Here is a 12,517-nt window from a genome sequence, read left to right on the forward strand (position 1 = left end):
TAAAAAAGAAAGTAACTGAGAGCTGACAATGGAAAAGTAGCTTAGTGAAATCACCAGAGAGAAAACTGATGTATTCTACCAAGATGAGCTAAAGACAAAAACTACTGAAAACTCACTTTGACTAACTGATCCCAATTTGTCTTGAAAAACAAATGTAACAGCTAATTGAAGGATCCTGTGTACTGCACTGCCTTTATACAATATTAAGCAGTAGTTAAATGTTAACAGTAACTACTTAGCTTTTTAACTTGATAAAAATAATTAGACTTTTACTGGCAATATTTTAACTTTTAATTGAAGTATAACAAAAATACAGAAGAGTGCAACAATTCAGTAAATTTTCACAAACTGAACACACTAGTGGAACCAACACCCGGATCAAGAAACAGAACATTACCAGCTCCCTGGGAACTGCCCCATGTTTCCCTTTCCAGTCACTTCCCCTCAAGGAGTCCTGACTCCAAGTACCAAATTACTTTTACCTGTCTACATAAATATATGCATGCGGTATGTATAATTACTTTTGCCTATCTATGTAAACATATGCATGCAGTATGTATAATTATTTCTGCCTATCTACATAAATATATGCACACAGTATGTATAATTTACTTGTCTGGCTTCATTCACTCCACAATATGCTTACAGGATTTGTTTATACAGTTGCATATGATTATAGCTCATTCATTCTCATGCCTGTAAAAAATTATTTTATGTGAATATACCACAATTTATTTGCCCATTTTAGAGTTGATGACATGTTAAGTCTTTTCCAGTCTGCAGTTACTATGAATAGTACTTCTGTGAACATATTTGTCCGTGTCTTTTGTGGACTAATATAAGTCCTTATATTGAACGTAAGCCTAGAAGAGGCACTGCTGGGTACAGGGTATGTTTCTGTTCACCTTAGCAGATACTACTGAACAGTTTTCCAAAGTGGTTGTACCAATTTACACTCCAACAGCTGCCCCTGGGATTTTTAGGCCTTTCCATTCTAGTCATTCTGGTAGGTGTATAGTGGTGCCACGCAGGAGTTTCAATTTGCATATCCCTGATGACTAGTCAAGTTCAGTGCTTTCCCTATATTAACTGATCACATTTAGATAACTTCTTTTTGTAAAGCAGAGTTCTTGACTTTGAGGCATCAAAACTGCAAGTTTTTATGTGAATTCTTCCAGGTTGTAGAATTTAAGGATTTTGTAAACGGAGTAGCAGACCTCAAACAAGCCCTGTTCAGTTAACTGCTGTGATAGAATCCTGGTGACTTTTTCATGTATTTAAGTATTTAAATACTATTAAAATATTTCATTTATCTGTACATACTTAAATATTTACAAAGAGTAAATATTTAGGACTGTGTGCCTGTTGATGAGGTCTTTTCCAGTAGGGCCAGGAATTCACTGTTTAGACACATTAAGGATAGGGATGGGCCTGATAACAAAAATCTCCACAGCTAGGACTTACTACAATGTCAGGCATCTATAAACAGCATAAGTCAACACTCACCAGTTTTAACACTCTTCTGACCAAGCAATTAATCTAAGCTACAATTTGAAGCTTCTATAACATAATAAAAGGCAACGCAAACAGAAGTCCTCAACTTTTATCTGTATAATCTAGTTTACAGATACAGAAAAATAAAGAGCATAAAATAATGAACCCTCTTTCACCTATCATATAGCTTTTAACAAACCTACATTCTGCTTTATATGTGGCAGACTTTTTTTTTTTTTTTTGAGATGGAGCTTTGCTCTTGTTGCCCAAGCTGGAGTGTAATGGCATGACCTTGGCTCACTGCAACCTCCACCTCCGGGGTTCAAGCAATTCTCCTGCCTTAGCCTCCCGAATAGCTGGGATTACAGGCACGCGCCACCATGCCCAGCTAATTTTTTGTATTTTTAGTAGAGATGGGGTTTCACCATAATAGCCAGGCTGGTCTTGAACTCCTGACCTCAGGTGATCTGCCCACCTAGGCCTCCAAAGTGTTGGGATTACGGGCTTGAGCCACTGTGCCAGGCCCAGACTTTTTTTTTTTTTTTTAAAGAATTAAAATACCACACATACCAAGAGTAAACATCATCCTGAATATGGTTTTCATCACTCTCATGTATTCTTTCATAGTTATGGCATATTTATAACGAAGAAAACAATATTTCTGTGAGTGTTTTAAATTTTGATATAACTATCACAATATACATTTAATTATGCACTTTTCCTTGCTCAAAAAAAAGTGTGCAATTTATCCATATTACCATGCAAAGCTTTAGTACATTCATTTTCACTGCTGTGCAATATTCTATTGCATGAATATATCACTACCGATTTGCCCATTTTCCTATTAATAATCCTACTTTTAGGCCGGGTGTAATGGCTCACACCTGTAATCCCAACCCTTTGGGAGGCTGAGGTGGGCAGCTAACTAGAGGTTAGGAGTTCAAGAACAGCAAGGCCAATATGGTGAAACCATGTCTCTACTAAAAATACAAAAATTAGATGGGCATGGTGGCACACTCCTGTAATCCCAGCTACTCAGGAGGCTAAGAGAAGAGAATCGCTTGAACCTGGGCAGCAGAGGTTGCAGTGAGCTGAGACCAGGCAACTGCACTCCAGCCTGGGCAACAGAGCTAGACTCCGTCTCAAAATCCTACTTTTTCATGCTCACAAAAAGTGATAAACAATCTGTTATACATCTCCTTGTGCACATGTGGGTGTCTTTGGGATATATCCCAATCAGGAAACTTCTAGAATATGGTATGTGTGTGTCTCGACATCTCTAACACTGTCACATTACTCTCTGGGGTGGTTTTACCAGTCACCTCTCACTGGCAGTGTGTGAGTGCTCAGGAAGATGCTTCTCCTCGCCTCTGGAAACACTCAGAATTACCTTTTTTTAAATGTGATGAGTATAAAATGTTATTATTTACATTTGCATTTTTCTGACAGTAAAATTTAACCTATTTTCCTTTCCTTCCTTAAACACATATCAAAAGTAAACAAAGGTAAAGAACTTTCCATAAAAAGAATGGCCTCGACAAATATGAGGACCTTTTCATTGAAAAATATTCTTAGAGCAAATCACTATTGAAATCAGTGGCTTCTCATTCTAGCACTGAGGCTACACAAGCTTTTAAACCACGAATTGGCAAACTTTTTCTGTAAAAGGCTAAATAGTAAACATTTTAGGCTTTGCGGACCATATCACAGTCTCTCTTACTACTATTCAATTCTGCCACTGTAGCACAAGAGCAAGAATGTATAAACAATATGCAAGCAAACCACTGTGGCTGCATTCCAGTACAACTTCATTCAGAAACATAGAAACTTGAATTTCATAGTAATTTTCACATGTCACAAAATTCTTCTTTCTTTTTTTGAGATGGGGTCTCACAAGTCTCACCCAGTTCTCTCATGAGAACATGCAATGGCACGGTCTCAGCTCACTGTAACCTCTGCCTTCCAGGCTCAAGTGATCCTCCCATCTCAGCCTCCTGAGTAGCTGGGACCACAGGTTTGCCACCATGCTGGCTAACTTTTGTATTTTTTGTAGAAATGGGGTTTCACCATGTTGCCCAGGCTAATCTCGAACTCCTGAGCTCAGGTGATCAGCCCACCTCAGCCTCCCAAAGTGCTGGGATTACAGGCATGAGCCCCCATGATTGGCCACAAAATTCTCCTTTTGACTTTTTTTTTTACCCAACCATTAGAAAAATGTAAAAACCATTCCGTATGGGCCATAAAAAAAGAGGTGGCAGGCCAGATGCAGTCCTGGGGTATAGTTTGCCAACCTGTTTTAGACTATTATTGATGCTCTGTTTTGAACATGCTTGCCCACCTCCCCACCACCACTATTCTGTGGAATGCCTCTTATTATGCTCAATTAGTAAAGCTCAAAGTATCCTGCCATGTCTTTTTATGCACACTGCAACCACTTAAGTATTGACAGCAAAGTGAAGAGATAAAGCTTTGCCTCAATGAGCCACAAACCCCATCCTGCAGAGTGGCTGAGGAACACCACAGGTGCCACTGTTCTCAGAAAGCACTGACAACAGCTGAAAGAGAAAAAACAAAAGGCTGCAGAGAAAACTCACTGTTGGAACTGGCATAGAGGGTCCGAAGGGAAAAGCCACTGAGTGTTAGCTCCCTCAGCTGATTCCGCCCACAGTGCAGCTGTTCCAAGCTGCATAAGGAGCTAAGATCCAAGTCAGTCAGTCGGTTGTCCCGCAGATCCACGTGGGTGATGTGTTTATTTCCCTCCAGATTTTCAATAACCATGGTTTTCAAATGGTTCATCCTTAATACGCAGAAACAAGAAAATAATCATAAATAAGAGTCTATTAAATGTGCTTACCAGAATAAAAATAAAAAATAGGACAGGTATGATCCCTTTCTCTGTTTACTTTTTTTTTTTGAGATGGAGTTTCACTGTGTTGCGCAGGCTGGAGTGCAATGGCGTGATCTCGGTTCACTGCAACCTCTGCCTCCCAGGTTAAAGCGATTCTCCTGCTTCAGCCTCCCAAGTTGCTGGGATTAGAATCACCCCCACCATGCCAGGCTAATTTTTTGTATTTTTAGTAGAGCTGGGGTTTCACCATGTTGGCCAGGCTTGAACTCCTAACCTCAGATGATCTGCCTGCCTCGGCCTCCCAAAGTGCTGGGATTACAGGCATGAGCCACCGTGCCCGGCCCCCTTTCTCTGTTTCCTAAACAACTTAAGAATTTCACTACTCGCCTCATTTTGCAAGGTACTATATAAATAATTAGTTGATGAATAACTCAAGGTACAGCTAAGTTAGACAATCCAAATTGGCAAATACGTATACAAATTAATAAAGAGAAGGAAAAAAGAGGCCATATCTACGAACAGTTAAACACTTATATCCAAATACCTAATAATGTCAGGTGGGCACTAAGTAGGACAAAGGAACAGGAAGATGAACACAACCTTTTGAGTCAGTGAGTAGCAAAGCAGTCACAACAGTACCATGTCCAGAGTATAAGGATGGAGCCATACTTCTTCCTGTTGCTATGCCTGCTCTATCTCTAGAGCTAAGGTTCAAACATAAAATTAATTAACAGACAAGGAAATAATCTGCACATATATATATATATATATATATATATATATATATATATATGGAAGAGTTCAAAGGCAAATTATAGAAAATGACCTCTGGGTTTTTTCTACACAGGTGTATGATTTAATTTATGCAGGTCTATTCTCACTTTCCTGTATTTCTATAAATCTCTCTCTTAAGTCTCCAGTGTGGTTTAAAAAAAAAAAAAAACTCTCTTACTGTCTTTACAAGCTACATCAATGGCTTACTGTAAATAACAGAACATCCAGTAGGTGTCTTTTTACCAGCTTCCTTTAGGAAAATATTATGACTAGAAAATAAAACTCTCATAAAAAGTTCTTAGTAATGAAACCCTTAACATTTTAATTGTAATACAATGGGTATCAAGAAGAAACCCAATGACTCAACAGAAAAATGGTCATTTATGGAAATCTACAAACTACTAATATACATATAAAAAGATGTTCAACCTCACTGCTATGTAAATAAACGTTGATTAAAACAATGAAATACTTTTTTCAACCTACTAGACTGATGATAAATAAAAAGAAATGCTAAAATCCAATACTGACAAAGATATGAGAAAATGGGAATTCTCATAAAATGGTGGAGGGGTCGGGCACACTGGCTCACACCTGTAATCCCAACACTTTAGGAGGCCAAGGCAGGAGGATTACTTGAGCCAGGGAGTTCAAGACCAGCCTGGGCAACACAGCAAGACCCCATCTCTATAAAAAATTTTTAAAATAAAAAATATACACTGATGGGAGGGTAAGTGAGAACAATCTTTGTCAAAGGCAATTTGATAGTCTCTATCACATGGTACAACTACCTGATCCTTAATCTCTCTGCTACTGAGTGATAAATAAAGTCTTACTATACCTTTGAAAACATATATTTCTACACTATTCAAAAAACCTAAAGTTATGGGCCAGGTGCGGTGGCTGTAATCCCAGCACTTTGGGAGGCTGAGGTGGGTGGACTGCTCGAGTCCAGGAGTTCGAGACCTGCCTGCACAACATGGTGAAACCTCATCTCTACTAAAAGTAGAAAAAAATTAGCCAGGCCTCGTGGTGCGCACCTGAAGTCCCAACTACTCGGGAGGCTGAGGTGGGAGAATCGCCTGAGAACGGGAGGTCAAGACTGCAGTGGGCCGAGATCGTGCCACTGTATGCCAGCTTGGGTGACAAAGTGAGACCTTGTCTCAAAACAACAACAAAATTTTAAAAACCCTAATGTTTTAAACAAATCTTCATAAACAGAAGACATAAAGGTCCACCAGAGTCAATTTAAAGGAAGGTGTGGTAAAGAATAACCTTACCTTAAATCCACATGCTTGATATGGTTCATCCTATTCAGCACCCCTAAGTTCAGGACTTCCAGGCAATTTCCTGCCATAACCACTCTATCTAACATAGTGAGTTTCTCATAAACCTCAGGAATTTGACTAAAGTTGTTGAAGGAAATTCCCAAGGAGGAAAGCTGTTGTAGATTTCCCAATTCTTCAGGTAAAGTAGTCAGAAAGTTGCCATCAAGACAGAGGGTTTGAAGACTATAGGAAGAAAACAAAACAAGTCTACTTTATGAAAGGTTTCACTGGAATGCACAGAATCAGAGTTAGGGATTCTGATTTATGTCACTAATTTATTATCAATCCCAAAATAGTAAAGTGTCCTAACTCTCCATCTATGCAGACTTAATAGATGATTTACACACAACTTAAACAAATGGTCCCTCCAACATTAAAAGAGTTAAGACCGCTGCTGTTGAAGCTGAGGGATCAGTCACTGCTATGGGCAGGTATATCTCTGAGGTCAAAAACTGCTGCTGACTAGAATCCTAAGTAGTACATGATATAGTTCACTGCAAGAGTTCAAGATACTACCTTCATTCCAAACCCCAGGCAAGTTCCTTATTCTGCAAGGGAAAAGAGGAATCTAGTAAAAGTTACTTACTTTAGCAGATTGCCAATTTGACTTGGTAGGTCATGAAATCCATTACAGGAAAGGTTGAGCTCAGTCAGGGTAGAGATCTCGCATAACAATATAGGAAACAACCCAAGTTTATTATGGGACAAGTTCAGGCCCTTCAGTTGAGAAAATCTAAAGAGCAAAGGCAAAAATGGGTATTGCATTTCAATACATCTATTACTGTATCTTTACAAGGGACATCAACGGCCTTTGATATCTATTTTAAATGTCTATAATAGAATTTATTCCAAAAATACTTATTGAGCACTCGCTGCATATCAAACACTGAGTGGGGACAGAGGACACCAAGATGACTAATTCACAGTCCATGTGATGAAGGAAACCACGTCTAGCATTACAGGAGCTCTCTTTTCTCCTTAAAAAGGAAGACAATCTTGGCCGGATGCAGTGGCTTATACCTGTAATCCCAGCACTTTGGAAGGCCGAGGCAGGTGGATCACGAGGTTAGGAGATCGAGACCATTCTGGCTAACTTGGTGAAACCCCATCTCTACTAAAAAACAGAAAAAATTAGCCGGGCGTGGTGGCAGACACCTGTAGTCCCAGCTACTTGGGAGGCTGAGGGAGGAGAATGGCATCAACCCGGGAGGCGGAGCTTGCAGTGAGCCGACATTGCGCCACTGCACTCCAGCCTGGGCCACAGAGTGAGACTCTGTCTCAAAAAAAAAAAAGAAAAAAGGTAGACAATCTTGAAGAACAGCTCTTGCTGGTACAATTCTTTTGTATTTCTTCATACTTGATATGCTTGAAATCTTTTTCCATTATTAAATTTCTACATGTAATATACAAAATCCTTGCAAGAATTAATCAACTCATAGACAGAGCAATAGCTAACAAATAGGTAGATCAAATCCCATTTATAAGCAACTTCTACTTTCATACTGAAATTATGTTGGCTAAAATGTCACATAAAATGAATAAACCAGTTAGAGCTTGAAAATACAAATGTGACAGCATTTTACCATTATGTGACCTGATACACAACACAAAATAATTTTTAGTGCTTCTATTTTGTTCATGGAAGTAAAAGTATCTATATTGTCTTACCCAGAGATAGCATTGTTATAAAATGGATCTCCTGGGTTTCTTCTTGATATCCACTGCATTATAATTAAGATGTTAAAGGTTTCATTACTAAGAACTTTTTATGAGAGACTCTGGTAATTCCACTGGGGAGTAGGATACTTCGTTATTATACAAGTGCAAGATGGTAAGGCTGAGATGTTCTCCATGATGATGATCTATCACCTACTTTTAGATTTGAATCCCTGGTACCTCACTGTAACGCTTCTCTTCCAAATTTTCAACTTCTGATTTCCGGATGACCTAACCTTGATTACTGATTATTCCTTTGGCTTGGTGCTTTAAATTCAGAATTTATGATACAGCCCTCAAACTGGACTAATTCTTTTTCATAGCAACTCACAAAGAAATGCTAGAAACCAACTTCCTTAAAATTATTGCTTGTTTTCATTTTTACATGCCAATATTACTAAAATAACTACCTCATTACTAAACAGAGGCTTATACTTGAAACACTTTCTAAAACAATTATCAGATGAGATTAAAAAAACAACATTTTCTGGACATTAGAATTATTAGCTATTAAGGAAGTACGTAAAATATGTCATTTTAATGTATATTATCTTTTTAGTCACCATCTAATTTAAATCACTTTGAATGCTTTAATTTCCAATTTCTCCCTTCTCCTCCAGAAGCCCAGACAATTACTTACAACACATATTTATTCACTGCGTCCATTTTTAAGTGGAGGAATGAGGTGGGATGAGTGGAGTGTGGGAATGGGGTATATATTTTAATAAAGGACATGGAATAACAAGTAGGTCATAGTACTGTAGGGCTAAAATGGTTCCTGTATTAGAACAGAGAAGCTTCACAGCTGACTAAACGCATAAGAGTTGGCAGTGGAAGGTACAAAGAGAAGATAGAGCCTTGTCTCTCAGAGTGAAATTCTTATAATTAGGCCTATCTCCTTTAAGTTACTGAAATTTTATACTTCTAATTCAAAAATTTCCCGTATACTAAATCTCCTGATGTAACTTGGCAGCAGATCATACATCGGTGTCAATGATTCACATGAAAAGATTACCCAGATCAACAGAAGCTCACAGAACATTTACATCAATCTTCTGTTTTATGGGGGGAAAGGGCAGGTAGGAGAACTCTGTGAATAAACATTTTTACTTCCTCTTCAAAAGGGAGGGGAAATTTTAGAATATACATACAATGGTAGCAGGTAGAAGCCATAAGATACTGATTATGAGTTGGTTTTAACAGGTTAGTCTGGAAACCCATTCTCCACATACTTGTAGAGTGTATCGAGGCCTCCGGGTCTTTCTAACTGCATGAAGTTGTGTCGCAAGTTGAGGTAGGTAATATCTTGACTATAGAAGAGATGCTCAGGAACCTCCTCGAGGCTGTAACACGAGAGATCCACGGTACTGATTCGCTGGGACACCACCTGAATAATGTCAAAGAGAAGAGCCTTCTGAGCTAGTACTGGATGTCTATCACCCAGCAAAGAATGGAATGGCATTTACACAAAAAGACGCTAATTAAAAAGATAGGAAAAAAAAGGCAATAAGATCCAATTATTCATTTATAAATACCAGTTAATTTTTACTTTTTCCTAAAACCATAAGCTGCTTGAAAAACAAGGGTATAAATTATAAAGTCTCTATAAGTACAAGGTTAAAAAAAAACACATATCATTAAAGATGGAAAGTTAACACTTCATGCAAGAAGTAATCTTTTTTGTTTGTTTTGTTTTTGGGTTTTTTTTTTTTTTTTTGGGACAGAGTCTTGCTCTGTCAGCCAGGCTGGAGTGCAGTGGCACGATCTCAGCTTACTGCATCCTCCGTCTCCTGGGCTCAAGCAATTCTCCTGTGCCACCATGCCAGGCTAATTTTTGTATTTTTAGTAGAGACGGGGTTTCACCATGTTGGCCAGGCTGGTTTCGAACTCCTGACCTCAGGTAATCCACCCACCTCAACCTCCCAAAGTGCTGGGATTACAGGCGTGAGTCACAGCACCCGGTCGCAAGAAGTTATCTTAAGATGATTCGAAATAAATGGAAAAAACTTTAAGAGGCAGTGTGATATGAAAAGACATGGCCTTCTGTAGCCACACTAGCTCTGCTACTTATCAGCAGTTTCTTCACCTGTTTTGAGGATAAAAGTAAATAACCAAGCACACAGCACACTGCTAAACATGCAAAAGACACTCAAAAAATATTAACTTCTCTTTAAAAGGGCAGAAGAATGGAATAGGTACTTAAAACTGGGACTAGTTTTATAGCCAGATTTTATAGCCAACACAATATAACTGTAAAATAGTCAATAAAATCAAAACAAGCTTGATAGTTCTATAATAGTATGCTAATATAATATGGGTTATAAAAATTGATCTAAAAAAAGAAACAATATATCACTAGAAAAGTCATTCATGGCTAGGCGTGGTGGCTCACACCATAATCCAGCACTGTGGGAGGCCAAGGCGGGCGGATCACCTGAGGTCAGGAGTTCGAGACCAGCCTGGCCAACATGGTGAAACCCTGTCTCTACTAAAAATACACAGATTAGCTGGGCGTGATGGCGCACACCTGTAATCCCAGCTACTCAAGAGGCTGAGGCAGGAGAACTGCTTGAACCCAGGAGACAAAGGTTGTAGTGAGCCAAGACTATACCACTGCACTCCAGCCTGGGTGACAGTGAGACTCTGTCTCCAAAAAAAAAAAGGAAAAGAAAAGTCATTCATGTTTTGATGGCATGTCCTTATACTATAACAATCTCTTATACAAAATCCTGCAAAGATGGCTAGAAGAAAAAGAGAATTTGGAAATCACAATACACTTTATTGCTTTTCAAAGGCTAAAGTGCAGAAATTATGTTGAAAGACTAATTATCCTTGGCATATAGGAATAATGGTTTGTGGCAGCATTAGAGGTCACTGTCCCATCAATAACTGCACATTTGAAGTAATTCACCAAGGCTGTTCTGAACATATGCAGACCAAGAAGCACTGGGACCCAAGTTATGGAATGAATCCATCTATCACTGACTATTACGGTTGAGGGAAGGTCATTTAAATCTCATTGTATCTCAATTCCTTCAAAGGTCAAATCTCTTTGTGTCTTAATTCCTTCTAAGGCCCTAACTCCCACAGACAGTACAGAGGAAAATGCACCTGCAAACATTTTTGACAGCATTTTGTACTATGCACATATAAATAAGTTAAAGACCTGGTGGAATTCCATGATTTTACTCATTATATACTCAGAAAAGGCCTAGAAAGGAAATTAAAAATTATAATTTGCTATCTTGGGAATAAGTTCAGTTTCTTTTCTTGTCTTTTGTTTTTTTTTCAGACGGACTTTTGCTCTTGTTGCCCGGGCTGGAGTGCAATGGAATGATCTTGGCTCACTGCAATCTCCGCCTCCTGGGTTCAAGCGATTCTCCTGCAGCTCAGCATCCCAAGTAGCTGGGATTACAGGCATGTGCCACTACACCCCGCTAATTTTGTATTTTTAGTAGAGACGGGGTTTCTCCATGTTGGTCAGGCTGGTCTGAAACTCCCGACCTCAGGTGATCCACCTGCCCCAGCCTCCCAAAGTGCTAGGATTACATGCATGAGCCACTGCACCCGGCCATCAGTTTCAAAATACATTTCTCTTGAGGTACTCTTTTTTTTTTTTTTTTTTTGAGATAGAGTCTTGCTCTGTCATCAGGCTGGAGTGCAGTGGCGCGATGTCGGCTCACTGCAACCTCTACCTCCCGGATTCAAGCGATTCGCCTGCCTCAGCCTTCCGAGTAGCTGGGACTACAGGTGCATGCCACCACACCCAGCTAATTTTTTGTATTTTAGTAGAGACAGGGTTTCACCATGTTGGTCAGACTGGTCTCGAACTCCCAACCTCAGGTGATCCGTCCACCTCGGCCTCCCAAAGTGCTGGGATTACAGACGTGAGCCACCACGCCCGGCCTAGGGTTCTCTATTCTTATCTCCACATCAGAACATCCCATTACTTTTCACCTTGGATGCTTGCCGTTGCCATCGCTGGTACTCGGCCAAAGTCTCGAAGCTGACATGATAGGTCTGAGCTTGGGCTCCTGCTGAGCTGAAAGCAAGGGAGTATTGCCGTCGCTTCACTTCTTCTATCTGAAGAAGAGGAGGGGAGAAAACCAGAACCACTAAAAAAAAAAATCCTAGTCAAAAAGCAAAAGGCAATCACAAGACGAACAACTGAATTTTTAAAAATAGTTATTTTTTATTTTTTCTCTCTCCCTCCTTGTCCCCCTCCATCTGCCAATGGGTCACACATGAACACACCCAAGGAGTACACAATGATCCCAACACATTAGCTGTGCTTTTGCTCTATCACCAGCAGCTGGGTAGCACCTCTTGTCCTCAGGACTTGCAGGTCAGGAAGCAG

The 12,517-nt window shown here is 39.5% G+C and overlaps 1 protein-coding gene and 1 long non-coding RNA gene across 3 annotated transcripts in view; one reads left to right on the forward strand and one right to left on the reverse strand.

The window, feature by feature from the left end:
* The window catches only part of PHLPP2 (PH domain and leucine rich repeat protein phosphatase 2), a 79,778-nt gene that overhangs the window by 27,435 nt on the left and 39,826 nt on the right, over positions 1-12,517 (reverse strand). For both annotated transcript variants that reach the window (NM_015020.3, NM_001289003.1), the window contains exons 5-9: positions 12,118-12,243; positions 9,393-9,547; positions 7,031-7,177; positions 6,397-6,627; positions 4,089-4,291 (exon numbers count right to left, since the gene is read on the reverse strand). In NM_015020.3, the coding sequence (NP_055835.2) occupies positions 4,089-4,291; positions 6,397-6,627; positions 7,031-7,177; positions 9,393-9,547; positions 12,118-12,243 (862 nt within the window). The remainder of the gene's footprint in view (positions 1-4,088; positions 4,292-6,396; positions 6,628-7,030; positions 7,178-9,392; positions 9,548-12,117; positions 12,244-12,517) is intronic.
* LOC124903712 (uncharacterized) overlaps positions 1-12,517 on the forward strand; it is a 28,774-nt gene that overhangs the window by 1,559 nt on the left and 14,698 nt on the right. The gene's annotated exons all lie outside the window — the stretch shown is intronic.

Source organism: Homo sapiens, chromosome 16 (genome assembly GCF_000001405.40).
Source record: "Homo sapiens chromosome 16, GRCh38.p14 Primary Assembly".
NCBI classification, from domain to species: Eukaryota; Metazoa; Chordata; class Mammalia; order Primates; family Hominidae; genus Homo; species Homo sapiens.